The sequence below is a fragment of the Homo sapiens genome, chromosome 13 (assembly GCF_000001405.40).
Source record: "Homo sapiens chromosome 13, GRCh38.p14 Primary Assembly".
Lineage (NCBI taxonomy): Eukaryota > Metazoa > Chordata > Mammalia > Primates > Hominidae > Homo > Homo sapiens.
In genome coordinates this window covers 38,592,511-38,615,832 of record NC_000013.11, presented here as the reverse complement: position 1 = coordinate 38,615,832, position 23,322 = coordinate 38,592,511, and the positions used below count along the sequence as shown (strand labels likewise).

Below are 23,322 nucleotides of genomic sequence, written 5' to 3'. Positions count from 1 at the left end.
ACAGAGAGAATGCAGCCATCCATAAGCCAAGGAGAGAAGCTTCAGGAAAAACAAAAACTTACTGATGCCTTGGTCTTGGACGTCCAGCCTCCAGATCTTTGAGAAACAAACTTCTGTTGTTTCAGTCACTCAGTCTGTATTTTTTGTTATGGCAGCCCTAGTTTGCTAATATACTTTGTTATATTTAGAAACATGTCATAAAAACTCTTTGAAGTTTCCCTTACATATTTCCTAAATTCACCTCTTTTCTTTTATTCCCACTATCACTATCTTATTTATGATGCTTATTCCATATCTGTCCTATCTCCAACCTGACACCCTCCCAATCAACGCAAGGCTGCCAGAGCACCTAAAATGTGCATGCAAGCATGTGACCTTACAGTATAAAATCTTTCAGAGGCTAACCAAGCCTTTAGACAAAATCCAAATAACCAAGTGTAGCTATGATGAACTCGTTATTAAATACCTGCCTATCCAGCTATTATCTCTTGCCATCTGTCACCCAATTTCCACAAATGGCCATGTGCCAGCCCCATAGAATTGCCTAAAATCCTCTGAACGCAGTCACTACTTCTGACGTTCCAGATTTTATCTTCATCATGGAAAACTCTCACCACTTAACTAGCTTCTACTGGTCCCAAGGCTCAACTTAGCTTAAATCTCCTGGACTATTATCCATGATTTTCCTTCATCCCAAGATTCTCCTTTCTTTGTGATTCAGTAGCAAACTCTCCCTGCAAACTCTTTTCTAACACTGGTCATATTTCTGTAGTGGTTTTAGCTGCTTTTCTCATGAGATGTGGCCTTTATAAAAGCAAGGATTCTGTCTTTCAAAATAAACATTGAATAAATGTTTTTTTGCCTGCATGCATGAATGAATCCAAGATCCAATTTATTTCTGCTTTTATGGCTTTCAATCAAATGGCAGAAATTCACTACAGAAATGGAAATATAGCTTCACTACATTGTCAGGATAAATTCATTCAAATGTCCACCACTTTTTTTTTCAGGTTGTCTTTAGTTGGATTTCAGAACCACAAAAAGAGATTTAGCACTGCCTGCTTTCCTTGGAGCATAAAAGTTCATGTTTAGGTTGAAAGTTGCTGTATTATTCTCTTTGAAGAAGCAACATTAATGTTTGCATCTTATTAGCCAACTATGTGAATGGAGAAAGTAGGACTGTGTGGTCTCCGTCTTTAAAGAAGGTGGGTGGTGTGTTTTGTTAAACAACGTATCCACCCCAACCCACTAGGGTCAACCACAATTCAACAGTGACGAAGATTTCTAGACCACCTGGGTTTAGTAGTCATGCCCTACTCTTTTTGACTAGGGAGACCTAAAAAGGAGAAATCAGTGAACCAAGTGCATGGAATTAGTCCAAAGGAACAAATATTAGAAACAGGTGTGAGATATTTCCCGGGGAAAATGATGCATTAATTTATTCTAACTGGCAGTGGACCATGCCATATTTCCTGAAGAATTAGCTACCTTAAAACATTTTCACAAAGGAGTTAAGAATAAACATGCTTTTTTTTTTCATTTCAAGCCAACTTCTTCAAAGCCCATACATCTGTATAAAAAACTTTTAGGCAATTATGAAACTACAAAAATGTTTTATTCCTCTTCTATTTCCCAATGATAATGTATCCTTTAAGCATAACCATATATATGAAGCACATTTTTATTATAAGGAAAGCTTGTAATCTATGTTTTATACTTGTCCCATATTCTAGTCTTATAGCAAAATGTCACAGCATCTTGATGTTTAGTGTTATGTATTTTTATGTCCTGCGTTTTTCACAGAAGGATTAGAGGTTTTGGCATTGACTATGTTACTTGTTGAATACCTTAGTTTGAATGGCATCACATTTTACAAAAAAAGTTACTTGACTTCCTGAGGTTATCGGGATGTTTGGTATTATCTACAGGAAATTGGGTTGCTACTATAGAATAGTTTGAATAAGAGAGCAGTACATAAAGATTGAAATTTATATCTGCAATCCAGACTCTGTCCCAAACTCTAGATAGATCTATCCAAATGCCCATTTGGCTTCTCCACTTCGGTGTCTAATGTGTCCAGAGCAAAAATTATTTATTTCTCCCACCATTCCTGTCTGCTCCCTTTGCTGAAGCCACAGTGGCCTCTGTGCTGTCTCCCGGACCTGCCAAGCAACTTCTTAACTCAGGGCCTGGAATGCTCTTCTCAAGTGTATCAGCCAGAGTTCAATGAGAGATAGAACCCATAGGACATAAAACTGTTTAGTACATGGGATTGGCACTTGAGGGGCTTGGCTAAGCCAATCTGAACATCGTAGGGCAGGCAGGTGGCCAGGGAGGGAGCATAGTAAGCATGGCGGAATTCCACTGGCATGGGCTGAAGCTGTTATGGGCAGAATTGTTTTTCTCTCTCTGGGAAGTCTCAGTCCTACTTTTAAGTCCTTTCAACTGATTAAGTTGAGTCAACCATTATTTTCCAGGATGATATGCGTTATTAAAATCAACTGCCTCGGGAGTTTAATTAACGTGCAAAATAACTTCACAGCAACACCTAGATTAGTGTTTGAATAACTGGGAACTGTAGCTTTGCCAAGCTGACACCTCAAAAAAGCCATCACAGTCAGATATCCTTGTGGCCTTTTCTCTTACTTCCTTCAAATTTTGGGTCATATCTCACCCTAGAGTAATCTCCCCTGGCCGTAGTCTGCTGATATCACATCACTTTCCCATAGGGAGAATAGGGGCAACTCCCACCCCTATTCTCATCATCCTACCATTTTCTTTCTCAAGGCACTTAATCCCTACCTTTCATTTTATATACTTGTTTATTCTTTTTCTACCCTTATAGAATGCAAACTCCATCAGAATACTTTTTAATACTTTCACTGTTTTATTTTATTGCTCTATCCTCTGTGTTCAGAGCCTGGGGGAGAGTAGGTATTTGATAAAAATAAATTGGATAAACTATAGTTATGAATGATATATAGAAAAAGACACTAATTTAAAAGTGTGAATTTTGAAGATGGTTATTGCTTCCTTCAAATTTACCAATTCCTTTGGTAAATCAAAATCAGAAAGTTTAAAATACAATGACATTAACAAAAATAATTTTCTCCTATTGATAAACACACACACACACACACACACACACACACACACACACACACACACACACACACTCTTTCATTGATGCCCCAAAAGACCTGGATTAAGAATGTTGTGGATATTTGGTTTATGTAGAAATATCCATGACACTACAGTAGGTAATAGTTGCCCCCCAGCATATAATCTGAACTTTACTAAGACTAAGTAAGTTTAGTTATTTTAAACCAGGAAGAGTAATATTAACTTAGTAGTTTTTTCCCTTTATTTCTGACATTTTGCCCAATGACACATTTTTGTGAATCCCTGTAGGTCAAAAGGGTTCTTTCACTCCAGCTGTCTTAAAACTTCTCGGAGGTTTCCTGAAATCAAATCTCCATTCCACCCACGAGATATCTACAACCCATTTGCTTGTTGGTATCCTGACTGCATCCCCAAACTTCCAAATTGTACATAAATTCTTCTCAAGTTTTGAGATATGTAAAGGCAGCAGGGCTTCTTTTTCTGTGCTTCTCTTAGCTCTTTATTTTACTTCCTGAGAGCGTCATTGGTGGCCTTTTCCTACAGGTCGTCTTCCAGCTGCTATGATGCATTCATGACCCTGGCTATTAAGGGCAGCTATGAATGGAGTCAATGTTATTCAGATCATTTGCCTTATCATTCCTGTTTACTAGACTCTGAAATGTCCTGGGGATGAGCACCCATGTCTGTATAGCTAAGACAAGGTCAGATACATGTTCTCACGTAATCATTATGATAGTATTTTATGCAATATGCGAAAGCATTCTTTGTACACCTTACTTTCTTGCGCATTGTTTACTGTGCTGCGTTCTGGAAGAGGGCAAAGGTTTACTTTTGTTGTAAGCTCACTAGAAATGCTGATTAGGAAAATGATAGAGGAGACTCTGGCTCTGCTTGTGACCCTGGAAATAAATGCTGCTTCTTTCATCTGTGCAGTCACCTATTACACTGCTGCAACCAAATACACATTTAAAGGAAAGGCAGAGACACACAAAGATTTCAAAACAGTCTTGTGTCTTCATCCTCTGGCCCATGTTTTCAAATGTCAGACTGGTATCTCTCACACAGGAGAGCTCAAATACAAGAGTGAAAACTGGTCAGACACCCTACCCCTGTCTACTTTCAAAAGTATGTGAAATGACTTATTTGCTGATGACATTTTTATTTTATTTTCATGTGTGGTTTGACATTCATAAAGAGGCTTTTAGAACATTGCTGTAGTTCTAAACATTGCTTGTAGACAAGAAATAAAAATTAACTGCTTTGTATGCATAAATCAACTTTCTTACATCTGAGTCTTGTTCATGTCTGTAGCAAAATAAAAAGCAAGACGGTAACCGCTCCATTTTAGTGAACTATTATAGATAGGAAACCTTGTCGAAGTAGGAAATTTCTTTTCTTTTTTTAAATTACTTTTTAAATTTACTACTATCTCTATGCCTTCTAAAATGTAATACAGTGAATTAACCTAACTAACTACTATGGTTTGAATGTGTCCTCCAAAGTTCAGGTGTTGGAAACTTAGTCCCTGTATTAGGCCATTCTTGGATCGTTATAAAGAAATACATGAGATTGACTTTTTTAAAATTATTTTTAATTTTTTTTGAGATGGAGTCTTGCTCTGTCACTCAGGCTGGAGTGCAGTGAAGCGATCTTGGCTCACTGCAACCTCTGCCTCCCGGGTTCAAGCGATTCTCCTGCCTTGTCCTCCTGTGTAGCTGGGATTATAGGTGCCCACCACCACACCTGGCTAATTCTTATGTTTTTAGTAGAGATGGGGTTTTAACACATTGGCCAGGCTGGGTCAGGCACAGTGGCTCATGCCTGTAATCCTAGCACTTTGAAAGGCCAAGGTGAGTGGATCACTTGAGATCAGGAGTTCTAGACTGGGTAATTTATAAAGACAAGAAGTTTAATTGGCTCAAGGTTCTGCAGACTTTATAGCAAGCATGGCACTGGCATCTGCTCGGCTTCTGGGGAGGACTTGGGAAGCTTCTGACTATGGTGGAAGGGAAAGGGGGAGCAGACACATCACATGGCATAAAGCAGGAGTAGGATGGAGGGCAGGTGCCATACACTTTAAACAACTGGATTTCCCGAGAGCTCTCTCACTACTGAGAGGACAGCGTCAAGCTATGGGTATCTTCCCTTATGACCCAAACGCTTCCTACCAAGCCCCACCTCCCAAATTGGGGATAACCTTTTAACATGAGATTTGGGTGGGGACAAATATCCAAACTGTATCAGTCTCCAGTCAGCAGTGTTAAGAGTTGGGACTATAAGAGGTGGTTAGGCCATGAGGCCTCTGCCTTCATAATTGAATTACTGCCATTAACAAGGGAGTGAGTACCTGATAAAAAGGATGAGTTTGGCTCTGTTTCTGCTCTGTCCCATGCTCTCACTTCTGCCTTCTGTCAGATGCTGGTGCAGTGCTTGCACTTCCCAGCCTCCCGAGTTATGAACCAAATAAACCTTAATTCTTCATTATTTGCCAGTCTGTGGTATTATGTTATAGCAACAGAAAATGGACTAAGACTCTGACTATCTTGGTTTTGATGATTTAGGGACCAGGTTCATGTTCCTTAATTTCGAATATTCTCTTTAACTACATCACAAGATTATTTTAATATAAAATTAAAGACAAAACTCTGTTAGAAAGAAAATTATAGCATCTCTGCTGGCTAGTAGACATGATTATTCAAATAGGTGACCTGTTAAGACTACTATTTTTAAAAAAATTTCTTATTTTCAAGGCTTAGACAAAATTGTTAAAAAAATTTTTTTTTATAACTGTAATTCTAAATAACCAGGCAGAAAAGATCCACATTGCAGCATGATTAAGTTGCCCATTGTCTGCAAATTTTACCATATGGTCATTGTTATCTCATTAGGGATCCTTTTACCCCTTCCTCCAAGGTCAGTGATTTCTTTGGCAGTGTCCCCACAGACATTCGGATATTCTACTTTTAAATTACATACACTCCAAATGTCTACAGCCACATCCATACAATGTTTATTTCCTGTGTCTGATCTTCTTTCAAACCCCAAATTGTATACAGATATTTCTTAGGTTGTGAGAGGTAGGAGGGAATTAGTTTTTTTTCTCCATGATTCCTATCTTCTCTCTTAGGACTTGATTTTATCTCCACTTGGAACAGTCTCATCTTGTGTTCCTCTCTTACCTTCCTCAGCCTTTGTCCAAATATCACCTTACCAGTGAAACTGTCACCTTCCATTCTATTTTAAATTTTAAACTCTTCCTAATTTATAAATTTCAAAAATTAAAAAAAACAAATTTCATTATGGCTTGGATGCAAATAAAAAATAAACCTGTATCAAAGATTCATTAAATGCACTAGTTAATGGGGGTGCTAATTAATTAACAAGATCTTATTAATCAATGAGATGTTCAGAACAGTTCAAAAGGGAATCTCAAAAATCTGAATGTATGTGTAAATGTGTGTATGTATGTATAGACATATATATATATATACATACAGTCAGTAGGGCTAAAATGAAGTAAGTAATAGATGCAAAACTGGTACATATTCTCTGGGGCAATAAAATGTTTTGGGTGATTTTTTCTACAAGGGAGAAATCAATTGGAACTCTACCAGATAAAATTCATTTGCATTGTAAAGGACACTAATTATTTTCACTACTATGATTGTTCTATAAGTTAATTTCTAGGGGCCGGGCACAGTGGCTCACACCTGTAATTCCAGCACTTTGGGAAGCCAAGGCAGGTAGATTACCTGAGATCAGGATTTGAGACCAGCCTAGCCAACATAGTGAAACCCCGTCTCTACTAAAAATACAAAAATTAGGCGGGTGTGGTGATGCGTGCCTGTAATCCCAGCTACTTGGGAGGTTGAAATGGGAGAATCACTTGAACACAGGAGGCAGAGATTGCAATGAGCCAAGATCGCCCCATTGCACTCCAACCTGGGCAGTAAGAGTGAAGCTCCATCTCAAAAAAAAAAAAAAGTTAATTTCTAGCCCTACAGAGATATAAAATAGTCCATTCAATAAAAATAACCCAGAAGTTCATATTCTGATATTTGCAGGGCTTGGGGCTAGCATGCAAAGGAAAACCTAAGCCTCTCATTCTTCTTACCTCAGTTTCCTCCGATAGTAATACACAGGTACATGCCTGCAGAAACCCCAGTCTTTGGGCCTCCACATCGGCACATACCTTTGATTCTGCAGACTACTTGCCAGACAGGAGGTTCGTGGCCAGTGACAGGACAGAACAGGTGTTTCTAAAATGGGGACCCCAGATCAGGAACCCAGTTGGCCAGGTCTAGTAACTGTAATGGCCGTCTACCATGTGGCATACTTTACTTATTTATTTGTTCACTGTCATCCCTCACTACCTGTGGTCAAGAATTTTGTTTTCTGTTTCATTTACAACTACAATTCCAGCTTCTGGAAAAATATTTGACACAAAGCAAGTATCAATACATATGGTTGAATTAAATATTGCCTATTACACAGATCATATTCACAAACAGACATTGCAGGAAAGAATGATAGTTTGAATATCACCACACTCAATTTTAAAACAATATAAATGTGTTTAAATAGATTTTTTTTTAAAACTGAAACACATATCTTCAATAGTTCTGCTACTGGACATATTGATAGAAAAATTACCATTTTGTAAAATAAACTTTGTGTCTGTATAATAATTGCCAAAAGCCTAAAGTTTGCGACATCTTTTTGATAAATTTTCTGAGAAATGAAAATTACATGAAAAAAAGAGAAACATCTAAAGCTTCAGACGACCCAGTTTGAGGTATTTTGGGGTCTATTGTGTCTTCACAGTCCTTAAGGCAATCATTTCTACGTGGTCCCCTTAGATGCTGTTTCAAAGGCTGTGAGATGATGTCATGGAGTTATTACTTTAAATCATCTTAAAAATTTTTATGATTGTTAAGTCATACCAAATAAAACATAAAAACTATATTTAATAAATTTGAATTTTACTTTTTAAACATTTCAAATTATGCTCTTAAGAATGGACAAGAAAATTCCAGAATATCAGGATACAATTTTTGATAATATCCACCCAATAGCCTTATTTCCTGTAACTATGTTTTTTGTCCCTTAATTATCCTGTGCCTCTCCCCCAACTGAAAGTGGGGTATTCATTCTTTCAGAAAACCCTAGACAAAAAAGGAAATTCCTTTCAGTTTTAAAATAAATACAATGTTTTTAGTTCTTTGGAAAATCATAGTCTAAAAGCAAGCGCTTTTGATTTGTAAAATTCTGACTTTGTTGAGTGAGGAAATGATGATTTTCTTTAAAATCTTGAAAGCCAAGCTTTGAATACGCAGATGTTTTTACTAAGAACCATGGACTAAGTTGGATGAGTCACTAAGTCAATTGCTTTCTGAAAGACAGAGGGGAGCCCTTCTTAAGACTAGGAGAGGAGTTGGGAGGGAGAGTAGAGCCAAAGACTCGAATCTTATGTCTCAGATTTGAAATCCCGGGAAGTAGGGTTGGGACACTTGGATAGGTTCCGGTGGGTGGGTTAAGAGTCACAAGCTTGTGCCACTCCTGCCTGAATGCTGCTCTGAAAGTCTGCAAGCCTTTCAAACAATGACATGGCATTCATTGGAACGGGGATGGGGACCCCAAGGCACTGAGGCACAATTAAGAGGAAGGGTGTGTATGTGGGTGAGTGTGTGGGGCAGAGCAGCTGAACATCTGCTTTCTGAAGTGCAGAGGCTATTAGAAGTCCAGTGTATTGGAAGAGGCCACAGGAGTGGGAAGCTAGTACTGAGGAGAATGGGCATCTCCACATTCATGAGCAGGATGTCCCCACCCAGTGCTCACAAGACCTGCAGGGCTGCCAGATTCTCAGTTGCATGCATGTGGGACTTAGAGTCAGAAACCAAAATGCTGGCTAGGCTATAAATTTCTGGCAATAAGCTCATTATTTAAATTCTCTAAATGTGCCTCTTTCAACTTCAAAAAGGGAGCTAAACTGTCTTCCTTATAGGATTGTTTGGAGGATTAAGTGTGGAGTGTGCGTGTGTGTGTGAGAAAGTGTCTAGCACTGTGCTAGATGCATAATAGGCACATCATGATTAGAATCCACGTCTACACCTATGGTTGCTCCAACCGCACCACAGTGAGAAAAGGCAAATGTGGTTTAAAACACAAAAAAATTAAGCCATCCAATACATTCTTTACCACAAACATGAAAAGAAGCATCGTGCACACATTTAACCCTTCTTTTCTCTTTCCCTTTCCTTTTCCCTCTTCCTGTGGTGAAAGTGGAAATGAAATCTACAGTAGCTATAATTTAGTGAATGCTTAGATCTTTGATTTCACAGAAATGGGCAATTTAGCCTTAAAATAGGTATGAGTGTCTGTAATAAATTAGACTCAAGATTACCTTCTATTAAAAAGCAATAAAAGTAAAAAAAAGTAATAAAAGTGTAAGGGTCATTATTAATGCATGCAGTTACCTATTCTGTCATCAAAAACATCTCTACATCATAGATGTAGGAGCTAGAATAGTCCACCACGTAGCTGCAGTGGCAGCTGTCCTGTTGTGGCCTCTTTTGTTTCAAATGCAAGTTTGAGCAAAGTGTATTTTTGACAAGATGTTTTAAAACGGTGTGCCTAAGAACCACTAATCCATCATCTGGGTGCCTAACACCAAATAACACAAAACTCTCCTCATAGCTAAACTACAGCAGTCATTAACAAATCAAAACCAAATGACTTGGAAATGGAGATGGAGGAAATGAATGTTTTTTTTAAAAAAAAAATCAATGAAATGATTTAATAATGAAAAGAATGATAGAGGAGGAGTCATACAATTTATAATTAATCTGACTTTGTTATTAGTTTATTTTTTTAAAACTTGCAATAACATCCCTACCTCATTTAGAAAATATTTTTTTGTGTAACCTCACCTAATTTTAACCCTGTCTTTATTCAGGATTTTTAAAAAACATTTATGTGCATAGTTTATAATATTATCTATGGAACCTCACTCTGTTATTATGTTGCTTGGCAAATATGCCCTTTAGTTATTTTATGGATGTATTTCTTTTCAGTTCTTTTTCATTATAAGCTTCATGAAGACAGGAATAGTACATTACTTTCCCTTTTTCATTACTTTGGTGTATATTTATACTTAATCGACATTTTATTCACAGTATAATCCAAAATTAAGTCATATGTACGGTAAAATTCTGTTCAAAAGGGTATGAATATATTTGGAGTATATTGTACTTTTATAATAAGCGTCATTCATATTTATTGAGTACTGAAGATGTATACGTCATCTGTTAGCTTTACTTAAAAATTATTTTTATGTACCTTTAAAGAATAATGCAAAGTCATTGGGACAAATTTCAAGTATTATGAACAAATAAGAAAAAAGTTAAAATTGCTTCTCCAATACCACTTTTTGCTTTGTAGTTTGGTGTACATTCAGACTTGTTTTTTTTTCTTTTTTCTTTTATCGACCTAAAACTTCTCAACTGTCCTCCTATGTGCTTTTTCAACTTGCTCTATAAAAACTCACAGGATGAAATTCTCATTTCCAGGACCTCTTTTAGTTCAGTTTCATAAAGAATTGACAAAACTGGAAATAAAGTCAAACACAATTGTGTACTATTTTATTCCTAACAATTTGTCTACTTAACATTTTCCTTTGACCCTTTAAGATGACTGTAAAATCAGTTGAAATAATCTGCTTTAAGAGAATGGGAAAATGAATGTCATTTTCTAATTGTAGTAATAGTAACTTATTTATTTCTATGCTTGAAATGCAGTATTTGGAAGCTTCTTCTCACTTTTCTAATAACTCTGTCTTTATAATCAGAACAAAGGCAACAATAAAGTCACTAGTTGCAAATAAGCCCAGTAGCCATCTGGCCTTCTCAGTCATCCAATGTTGGAATCCATTTTACAGAACTGGCCACTGGGTTATTGTAAACCTTCTTTGAACTTCTGTAGTAATAGGGAATTACCTTCTAAGGCAACCCTTCCTTTTTCAGAGAAATCCAACATGTAATTTGTCAGCTTTAAATAATATTTTTTATACTTAGTGTTTCTTTACCTAGAATTTTTATCCATTGGGTTTATTTTAAATCCAATGGGTAAAGTTTAAGTATTAGATAAATATAATCCTCCTTTTTGAGTGACACTTTAACATAATCATCTCATCCCTCCTGAATATTCATTTTTTCCAACGTAAACCTCCCCAGTTACTTCAACACTTCTCTATTTCATATGGTTTCATATTTCTTGACCAACCTGGTGATCTTCTTCTGCTTATATTTCTATTGGATCAGTTTCTTCTTAAATATAATGCTCGGAACTGAAGATCATAGTCCCAATAAATTCAAATAGAACAAAAATTTCCTTTGCATGTTTTAATTGAAACTCCTAATTCATTACAGAATAATTTTATGATAGAGATTTAAGATTTAGATTTAATTCACTTCACATAATGTGGGTATCTTCCTTTAATCATTCATTTCAGACATTACGTTGTGACAATAGAGTCTTTCTAGTTTAGAAAGATCCTAAAATCCAGGTAAGGTGATCACATTGAGAGATAGTTAAAGTAAAAGTAAAAATACATGGCTCCCTATCTTGCTTTCTCATGTAGAAGCATCTGCTTCTCTTACAACATCAAAGGAGACACTGAAATGTGAGCGTTAGATATGAAGCTGCCAAATGTTTGATGAGTTGCATTTCTTTAATTTCAATGGAAGGAATACAGTGGGAGTGTGAGAGTTCATGCTCCAAAGCTGGATTGTAGCAACACACAGCAGAATGAGAGTGGGGAAACGGGTTCTGATAAAGTGAGACTTTTAGTGTTAGTGCCTTTTTTCTCATGCATCCTGATATATCACATTTCTCTATAAGAAGATAGTGAAATAACACTGATAACGATTGAGCCAGAGACATTGTGGACAAAATAGATTAGAAAAAGACCCTCAGATATTACTACAGGTTATGGAGTCTTTACTAATTCATGTCGAACTTGAGTTGCACTTTCCTCTTTCCTTCTACTTTTCAGTAATTTGTAGGTAAATGTTCAGGGCTCATAGTGTCAAAATTGTGATTAACACTGAAATCCTAATTTTATTTTTTCTAATTGAAAGTATAGTTTAACAGAGATCACATTTGGCATTTGGAATTAGCAGTTAACATTTTGAAACTTCATCACCATAGTTTCCAAGTTAGATTATTATAGATCATGGTATTTGACTTAATGGTCTTTTATTGTGGGATAAAAGTTCTTTGTAGAATCACATGTTTTTCCTGCACTGTGAGATTTTAAAGATTTTTATACCCGGGGAATAAAGGTGAAGATTGTTTATTAGAACTGAGTTATTACTTTGAGACTTTGTGTCAGAAGCAGGCTAAAAGCACACAGTTCCTTAAGCTGAGACACAATGTATGAGATAGGCAGGTTTGATTCAAGGCTGAGTACCTCTGTTTATTTAAATTCATTCAAAGGGATGAAGTGACCTCAGCTAAAAAGAGAGGCAGAAGTGGAGAAGGAATATAAGCAGGGGCTTCATTAATTCAATAAACCTTCAATGAGATGTACTATGTCCCAGGAAGTAAGCGAGGTTTGGGCTCCTGCCCTTGAGGAACCCAGAGTGAAATAAGGAAAGCAGGACCATAAGACTGATCTGAAATATAAGTTCCATATTTGAGCGTGAGCAAAGCACTGGTGCAGAGCTAATGGACTGTGAAACCGGGGTGTCACCCCTAAGTTGTCTGCACTTGTTTCCTCATCTGGCTTCCTACACTCACATCAAAGTTGTGTGTGTGGAGTTGGTAAAAAGTGTGTGTATTAGGAGTTGGTGAAAGTGCTTTGCAAAATGTATAATATCATTATATAAATAAAATACAATGCCTAGTAGAAATGTAATAATCCAAAGACTATAAATATTCAAAATAAGGCGTACATCATAATTATGATGGAGACATTTGGAAAGGCTTAAGAGAAGCTGAACTTGGAAGATTAAATACAATTTTGAAGGAAGATAAGATAATTCATGCAGAATGAACTCTGTGATCAGGGATTGAAAGTGGAGGGTGTATTCCAGAAAAGTCAGGTGTGACTAGAATCTTCAGTGTGTAGAAGACTGGAGATAGAGAAATAAGTCTGGGAGTTGAGGTTGGTATCTGATTACAAGCGTCTTGATATCCACACTAATGAGTCATACATCACTTTGTAACAAACAAAGGGCTGTTTCTGAGCCAAGACCATGACAGCATCAGGTCTGTGCTTTGCTGATAGTGTGGATGGTGGCTGGGACAGGGGAGAGAGCCCATCCTGAGGGACGGTCAAATCGTAATAAAGTAGCAACAAATAGCTAAAGCGTGGAGTGTAACAATGTGGATTAAAAGAATAAGACAGGGCCAGTGCGGTGGCTCACGGCTGTAATCCCAGCACTTTGAGGGGCTGAGGAGGGTGGATCACTGAGGTCAGGAGTACGAGACCAGCCTGACCAACATGGTGAAACCCTGTCTCTACTAAAAATACAAAGAATTAGCCTGGGCATGGTGGCGTGTGCCTGTAATCCCAGCTACTTGGGAGGCTGGGGCAGGAGAATCGCTTGAACTGGGGAGGTGGAGGTTGCAGTGAGTTGAGATCACGCCACTGCACTCCAGCCTGGGTGACAAGAGTGAGACTCCATCTCAAACAAACAAACAAACAAAAAAAAGAATAAGACAGGTAGAACTGATTGACCGGATTTTCGGTTCAAATGAAGACAGAGGAGAAGGAACTAAAGATGATTTGGGGGTTCTCTGCTTGATGGAAGTGGGGTATGGAGGTGTCATGACTTGAGACAGGACACGCTGTGGGGTGAGGAGAAGGGTTGAGGATTAGAGAGAAAGTTCCTAAAGTGCAGGGATTGTATTTTATTCATTGTTCTATCATCAACATAGTCCAGTGCCTGGCATATATGTAGCACTATGATTTCTTTGAAGATAGCAGTAAATACATGCATGAGGGAGGAAGGAGACCAGCATGGTTTGGGACATGTTGAGTTTGGGCTTCCATCCATGTGAAATTCTCTCTCCTCTTAACTTCCTCAAACTCCCATAACATATATTTTTAATATCTTTCTGAAGCATTTACCTTAGCTATCTCAGCTTTATAGCTACTTAGTAATTGGCCTTATCCCTTTTACAAGACTAAAAATACCTGGGGGTCAGGGTCTATTCTGATTTATGACAATATGCAACATAGTGTTTTATAAATAAGTGTCTAGTAAATAGATGACAGATTGCGTATGAAGCTTAGAGAGAGATGTTTTACGTCTTTGATTTCTCCATACGTTCCTTAAACTTAGCAGTGCTTTAATAATAGTTGATGATTTATTTGGTATGGTTCACACTGACCTTACTAACCAATTTAGCAGCAACCTTATAATTTATTGATAATATGTACAGGAATATGTATAAGAACTACTCTGCTAATTACTGCTAACTCATAGGAATTAATGCCCTATATGCCCTCCTAAAATCTCTGAGCAGGTTATTAGTGGGCCTCATTAAACAAATTCGTTTTTAAAAACATTTCTTGTTTAAAACTCAGCTCATAATTAGGAGACTTCAGAAAGAAGACAAATACAAACCAAAATGAATTCTGTTTGAATTTCATGTTATGTTATTATCTTTGGAGCTGACCTCATCTTGACACCTTCAGAGAAGCTGGTACTGCCAGATTCTGTTAAACAAGGTGACTTTGATAAAGGCCATTCCTCCCTTCAAGCCTCAAAATTGACCTGAGCGAAGAAATCATCCAGAAATATGATGACAAAAAGCTTAGCTTGTAAATCTAATAGACATTTTGTCATGAATGCAAAGTCCATACTGATAACTACTTCTTCTCAAATCCTAAAAACAAAATTACTCACTCATTTAGAGATTTAAACTTACAATTTTCATAGTAAGAGATGATGTCAATTCGAAATCACTTGTTTTTCACTGTGTAAATTTAAATTTTTCAAGTGGCTTGTAAACTAGCGAATTTTATGATTCAGATTGCTGCGGTAGTCTGTAAGTTTGTGATATCAATTATATCAACACCATAAAAACAAAGTTATGCCATGGAATGATGCTTTAAGGCGATCCTAGTGATCATCCTTCCACCCAGGCCCTCATCTTGCCCTTATTTGAGTGAGAGAAGTCCAGGTGAAGCAGTTTGGACAAGTTACCCAAGCTGAAATTGAGCAACTGGGCTGAGGTTTAGAACTACAAGTTTCTACCCTTGGAGATTATGTATTTATCTCATAGAATCATAATATTTGCGAAAGTGAAGATTTTTATTTAAATTATTATTATTATTGTTCATTTATTTTTTTTAGACAGAGTTTCTCTCTTGTGGCCCAGGCCGGAGTGCAATGGCATGACCTTGGCTCACCCCAACGGCTGCCTGCGGGGTTCAAGCGAGTCTTCTGCCTCAGCCACCTGAGTAGCTGGGATTACAGGCATGCGCCACCACACCAGGCTAATTTTGTATTTTTGGTAGAGACGGAGTTTCTCCATGTTGGTCAGGCTGGTCTTGAACTCCCGACCTCAGGTGATCTGCCCTCCTTAGCTTCCCGAAGTGCTGGGATTACAAGCGTGAGCCACGACACCCAGCCTGATTTTTACTTAAATATTGAAAATATTATATAAATTGACATGCTTTATTCTGTTTTCTAAAAAAGTATACCTATTTTTTTCTTTCTACTTTTAGGTTGAGGGGTACATGTGCAAGTTTGTCACATGAGCAAATTACATGTTGCTGACGCATAGTAATGATCTCACTACCCAGGTAGTGAGCCTAGTACTGCATAGGAATCTTTCCAACCCATGCCCCCACTCCACCCCCCTCTCTCAAGCAGTCCCCAGTGGCTATTGTTCCCATCTTTGTGTCCATGTGTTTTCCATGTTTAACTCCCACTTATGAATGACAACATGTGTTATTAGGTTGTCTGTTCCTACCTTACTTAGCTTAGGATAATGGCCTCTAGCCCCATTCATGTGGCTGCAAAGGACATGATTTCATTCTCTTTTTATGGGTTCATAGTATTCCATGGTGCATATGACCACATTTTCTTGATTCAGTCCATCATTGATGGGCATCTTGGTTGATTCCATGTCTTTGCTATTGTGAATAGTGCTGTGATGAACATATGTGTGCATGTCCTCTTGGTAGAATGATTAATTTTCCTTTGGGTATATACTTGGTAATGGGATTGCTGGATCTAAAGGTAGTTGTTTTAAGTTTTGAGAAATCTCCACACTGATTGCTGCAGTGGCTGAGCTAATTTACATTCCAACTCACAGTGCATAAATGTTCCCTTTTCTCTGCAACTTCGCCAGCATTTGTTGTTTCTTGACCTTTTAATAATAGCCATTCTTACTGGTGTGAGATGGTTATCTCATGTGGTTTTGATTTGCATTTCTTGAATGATTAGTAATAATGAGCATTTTAAAATATGTTTGTTGGTGCATGTATGCCTTCTTTTGAGAAGTGTCTGCTCCTGTCCTGTCCTTATTTTTTAATGGGGTTATTTGATTTTTGTTTGTTGAATTAAGTTACTTATAGATTTTGGATATTAGATCTTTATTGGATGCATAGTTTGTGAATATTTTCTCCCATTCTGTAGGTTGTCTTTTTACCCTGTTGATAGTTTCTTTTGCTGTGCAAAAGCTCTTTACTTTAATTAAGTCTCACTTGACAATTTTTGTTTTTGTTGTAATTGTTTTTGGGGACTTAGTCATAAATTATTTGCCAAGACTGATGTCCAGAATGGTATTTCCTAGGTTTTCTTCTAGGGTTTTTTATTGTTTCAGATCTTACATGTAAGTATTTAAACCATCTTGAGTTAATTTTATATATGGTGAAAGGAAGAAGTCCAGAGTTAAGTAAAAGACTTACTTCATACCTTCCCTGTGCAGACCTGCAATGAGTTATTTCTCCAAGGAGCCTTGGTTTCTTTCAAGGAGTGGTGTAATAGCCATGGAAATGGACCATTCAGATCTCCTTCTGTGGAAAGCATAATTGACTGACAGCACCAGAAGCTGCTTTTCTGTATCCACCATCAAACCCGTGCAGAGCCTACAGTTCCCATGGTTGCATGCAGCCATAACTGAGCATGGCAAGGCTATAAAGACAGGCTCATTCTGGAAAGATGCAGGACTTTTACATCAGGGCTCTCAATTGGCCCAGCTGAACTTTTCTCAGAAATGTGCAGCAGCCTGACACACTTCCTCCCTACCCTCTTTTCTTCCCTTCCTTCCTCCTTCCACAGACGTCGGGTTTGCATCTTCATCTGAGGACTCTCTCTACCTTCTTCTGCTCCTTCTCCTAACAAACCTCTTGCACGTGGAGTAGATCCAGTTTTGATGTCTGCTTCATAGTGGACTTGAACTAATGCAAATAACAATTACAAACAAAAATCTGGATGTTAGGGATACTCATTGCCACTGACGTGTCACTGCTTCTAGGATCTTTCTGTAGATAGAGCCAAGAGATTTACTTTTCAAAAAATATGAGCTTATATTGCTATTTCCAATTAAAATTTAACAACATAGTTTTATTTCTAAACTTCTTTGTATCTTCTTTCTCTTACACTGGAAATCAAGATTTCTAATAATATTAAGGTATTTACTTATTTGCTTTATTCTATGCTGTAATACAACTATAATATTTTTAAAATCACAATACCAGTAGCACCACTATTGCTAAATATACAGAGTCAAGTTTAAGACTTCTTTGCAATTATTATTGTCCTCAGAATATTTTCCCCTAGAGATCTACAGGGTAGTATGTTCAAAAGTTTCCTGTAATTCTTTTCTCTGTGCATTAATGTTAACAATGCTATATACAGATAGGTTCATTTCTTTTCATTTGTATTGTTTTAGAATTTGTTTTTCTTTTTGATTTAATATAAATGTTTTAATATATAAATCATATAAATGTTAAATAGTCCAAATTATACTATATTAAAAAGTATGTTTAATATACTTTTTAAAGTATATCAAAAGGTATACTTTAAAAAGATTTTATTTCATTCCTTAGTTTCTCCATCAGGTTCCTATCTACATCCTATAGTTAACCATTTTCATTAATTTGTATTTATGCTACCTGTGTTTCTTTTAACAAAATGAAGCAAATGTTATATGTACATATATAGGTATTTGTATACATTTTATAAATATAAAATTTTTTTCCCTTTCAGTCTCACATGAAATGAAGCCTACTAAATATAATTAATAATGTGTTCCTAAAAATGCTCCATTATCTCTCTTAGAGTGTATCCCTTTTCTTTCATATGGCTACATACAACTTTGCTCCTGTATATATGATAATTTATTCAAACCACACTGCTCTCATAATGATCCTTGATAAATAAACTTATACATAAGTGTTTCAGGTTTGTAAAGTTCAAGGTAGACTCCTAAAAATGATATTACTTGGCTAATGGGTATATATATATATAATTTTCTTAAACTATTACAAAAATCCCCTCCATAGGGTTTGGATCATTTTGTACCTCCCTTTGCATATATTTGAGTGTTTGTAATTCTAATGCTTCATCACTGAGTCTATTGTCAAGTTTCTCAATATTTATAATCTAATAGGTGAGAGATAGTATCATAATATAGTGGTATTTTGCAATTTCCTGATTATGAGATAGATACTTTTTTCCCATATGTACAGGGATTTTTGCTTTTATTTTTCCATGAACTGTCTATTCATTTTTTTTTGCCCATTTAGTAAAAATTGTAATATTCTTTTCTATTTTTTATTTAGTTGTGTGACACATAGCAATGTTTTGGTAAATGATGGACTATATAAATGACAGCGATTTCATAATATTATAATGGAACTGAAAAATTCCTAGTGCTTAGTGATGTAAAGTTATAGTGAAACACATTACCTTTTCTATGTTAAGATCTGTTTAGACACACAAATACTTACCATCCTGTTACAATTGCCTACAGTATTCAGCATAGTAACATGCCCTACAGGTTTGTAGCCCAGGAGCAATAGGCTATACCATACAGCCTAGCCGTGAAGTAGACCATACCATAGGTTTGTGCAAGTACACCCTATGATGTTCACACAATGACGAAATCACCTAATGATGCATTTCTCAGAATATATCCCTGTCATTAAGGGACACATGACTATAGTTATTTTTCTCATTTAATCTCAGGGATATTAGTCCCTTTTTCTTCCTAGTTAAAACTGCAAAAAAAAAACCCTGAAAAATATAGTCATAATTTGTCATTTACATTTTCACATTTTATCATAAAGTCAAATGTATTTATTTTTTATGTTTTCTCATTTTTAGGTATATGTATATGAGTTCACGTTTTTACACTTACAGCTCTAAGGCAGGGAGTTTATTCTTGTGAATAGTGTGAGATATAAATATAATTTAGCTTTTTCCAAATGGCTCTTTAGTTGATCCAACATCATTTATTAATAAATCATTTTTTCCCAGTGATTTGTGATTATATATCTAATAAAAGACTGTCCTAAATTACTTGGGTGTGCCCAGTCATATCACAGAAATTCTTAAAAGAGGAGAGCCATTTCTGGCTATAGTCAGAGAAAGATGTGATGATGGAATAAGGGTCAAGGAGATGCTGTGTTGCTGGCTTAAAGATGGAGAAAGAGATCCATGAGCCAAGGAATACAGCAGCCTCCAGAGGCTGGAAAGGACAAGGAAATGTGTCCTTCCATAGAGCCTCCAAGAAGAGATGCAGCCATGGCTAGACCTTCATTTGGTCCAGTGAGATGTGTGTTGGACTTCTTGTTACAGATCTGTATGATAATACATTTGTGTTGGTATAAGCCACTAGGTTTGTGGTAACTTGTTAGAGCAGCAATAGGAAATCAATACAGTGTCCACATATATTTTGAGAATTTTTGGTTTTTCTCCATTGGTCTATCTGTTTGTTCATGTGTAGTACCTTACTATTTTAATGGTAGACTTTGTGGCATGTTGTTATATGTGTGACTTAATTCTTTAAACCTAAGAGAATATTTTAGCTCAACTAGAATTTATTATAACAATAATAAACTCTAGTGTAGGTTGGCTTCATGTTATTGACTCATAATATCATGGCCAACTGAAATATTTTGAAGTTAATAATGTGTACCTCTAACACTAAACTTAAGAGAGAAATTGTTTAATGGCTGAGCATCAAATATGTAGCCTACATCTTTGAGAAATGTTATGGGAGAATATAGTATCAAGGAAAGTCAGAGTTAGGTACAGGGAAAAGACACAAATGTCCAGAATTCATAAATTAAATAAATTTAAAATAATTGAACATCTGTTTGCCAGATCCTATGTTGAAGACGAAATGGTACATGCCTCATAACCCTTGCTTTTAAGAAGTTCACCATCCAGTGGGGACACAGGCAATTTCAGTGCAGTGTGATTAGTGACTGGATGGGGAGGAAGCTTAGAGAAGGCAATGTCTGTGACTGAATAGACCTTGCCAGACAATAGTAGAAAGGGAAGATGCTGGGAAGAAGGAAAAGTGAAACTTTATGTGTTATAATGAAGAGATCAGGAGCCCCTGGGGAAAAGAAAAGGTAAAATTGAAGGGCTGGTTTGGCAGGTTAGTGGATGTGGACTTAAACCCGAAGACAAAGGGAAGAGAGGATAAGGAAACCACCAAGAAGATATCTAAGAGGATAAAAAGAAAACCAAAAGTACAAGGTGTCTGTGACATCAAGGGAGAGAGAATGGTCAAGAGCGTCACACATTTCAGAAAGGCAAAGTAAACTAAAGAGCATCTATTTATTTATTTATTTAGTCTATTGGCTAAAGCAACAAGAGAGCCCTGGAAATCTTGGTGTATAATGACATAATAGAGTGGTGGGAAAGGAAGCATACAAGGCTAAGAAGTAAATGGGAAGTGAGAAAGTGGATCAAAAAGAAGAGATAGTCACTGGAATGGAAAGTACAGCCAGAGAGGTTTTTTTGTTTATACTGAGAGAAATTGAGAATGTTTTCATGCTTGTTAAATGGAACCAGTGGAAAGCAAGAGGTTGAGGGTAAAGGAGAGCAGGCTGGAAGAAACTGCAAATCCAAGCACCAGTGGAAAGATAGAAGCATCTTCAGTAGGGAGCGGGTGGGAATCGTTTTCTCTAGAAGAAAGAAAGAAAAGATGGGTAGTTTGTAGTATCTTACATGGCAAAAAATGTGAAGAATTGTCTCTGTAATGAGTTTCCTTTTCTTTGCAATTAGGATTTGAGGCCATGTGCTTAGATTAGGATCTGGCAAATAGTAGGTGTTCAATAAATATTTCTCAAATAAATAAATAAAGTGTGGGAGAGGAGAAGATGGTTAGCTAGTAAGTTCTAGAAAGTTAAGCAAGGTTGAGGGAACATCTCTAGAGAAAAGGAGAACTTCCTGGGAAAGGAAAGGGTGGTAACTAAAGGCCTGGTTCAGATAAGTACCCTACCCCCATGGGTAAGGAGAAAAACTCTCCTGAGAGGACATTGTGTGATTATTTTCCAGGCTGTTCCTGGAAGCCTCGAGATTGGCAGTGGGGGTCTCGCAAGCATCTGTGAATGGGAGTAGGGCAAGATAGTTGGAGAAAGTGGCAAGCCAGTGAAAAAAGTAATTGCTCTGGAATCCAGGTTGAATTGAAGAAAGTAAAGATAGGATATTAGACCTTTTCAGATAGGTAGGCTGCAAAAATTTTCTCCCATCCTAAAGGGAGCTTAAACAAATTTACAAGAAAAAAAAAAACAAACAACCCCATAAAAGAGTGGGCGAAGGATATGAACAGACACTTCTCAAAAGAAGACATTTATGTGGCCAAGAAACATACGAAAAAAAGCTCATCATCACTGGTCATTAGAGAAATGCAAATAAAAACCACAATGAGATACAATCTCACGCCAGTTAGAATGGCAATCATTAAAAAATCAGGAAACAACACATGCTAGCGAGGCTGTGGAGAAATAGGAACACCTTTACACTGTTGATAAATTAGTTCAACCATTGTGGAAGATGGTGTGGTGATTCCTCAAGGGTGTAGAACCAGAAATACCATTTGACCTGGCAATCCCATTACTGGGTATATACCCAATAGATTATCAATCATTCTACTATAAAGACACATGTACATGAAAGTTTATTGCAGCACTATTTATAATAACAAAGACTTGGAACCAACCCAAATGCCCATCACTGATAGAGTGGATAAAGAAAATGTGGCACATATACACCATGGAACCATGGAGTACTATGCAGCCATAAAAAAGAATGAGTTCATGTCCTTTGCAGGGACATGAATGAAGCTGGAAACCATCATTCTCAGCAAACTAACACAGGAACAGAAAACCAAACACCACGTGTTCTCACTCATAAGTGACAGTTGAACAGTGAGAACACATGAACACGGGGAGGGGAACATCACACACCAGGGCCTGTTGGGGGGTGGGGGACAAGGGGAGGGAGAGCATTAGGACAAATACCTAATGCATGCATGGCTTAAAACCTAGATGACCGGTTGATAGATGCAGTAAACCACCATGGCACATGTATACCTAACTAACAAACCTGAACATTCTGCACATGTATCCCAGAGCTTAAAGTAAAATTAAAAAAATAAAAGAAAGTAAAGATAGGTAAACACTCTTAGGTTTGGAGATAGCAAAATCAGAGGTGTCGAAGTGGTGGAAGAATTGGTGTAGTGTGAATAATTGAGTGAGATAGTCATGATTGTAGCAGGTTGTCATTAGTCTGGATTTGAGAATTATGAAGAAGAGCCATTCTGGAAGATAAGTCAGCTGGTTTAGTTAGGGCTGTGATCAGTGATACCTGTAATGGAATGGGGGATGGAGGTGATGACTCTTGGAGATCAAGAGGCTGGCTTTCTGGGACCATATGGGTTGCCACTGATGATGCCATTGGCCAGATGATAACAGGGATTGGGTAGAAAGACAATACAGCAGGTATAGAAGTCTTGAATGAAGTGCTGTGTGTAGAGGGGTGTGAGGAGGTGGTAGTGAGACTGACTGGCTAATAGAAACACTTAGTCCAATTACAAATATTTGTGGCTTATCTTTAATCTAAAATCCCAAAGTCTGAAATTTCAAATCTTGGCACATATCTGAAAATAAATGATCTCATATAACTAACATATAATTGGAAAACATTTCCAGAAATTTAA

At 37.0% G+C, this 23,322-nt stretch overlaps 1 long non-coding RNA gene across 1 annotated transcript in view, besides 1 other annotated feature; it reads left to right on the top strand.

The window, feature by feature from the left end:
• Positions 1-23,322, top strand: part of LINC00437 (long intergenic non-protein coding RNA 437) — a 154,676-nt gene that overhangs the window by 70,843 nt on the left and 60,511 nt on the right. The gene's annotated exons all lie outside the window — the stretch shown is intronic.
• Positions 13,267-13,561: an enhancer, noted in NCBI's record as "tiled region #5265; K562 Activating DNase matched - State 9:DNaseU". NCBI's record gives its function as "activates a minimal TATA promoter and a strong SV40 promoter by Sharpr-MPRA in K562 cells {active_cell/tissue: K562}" and the evidence as "EXISTENCE:reporter gene assay evidence [ECO:0000049][PMID:27701403]".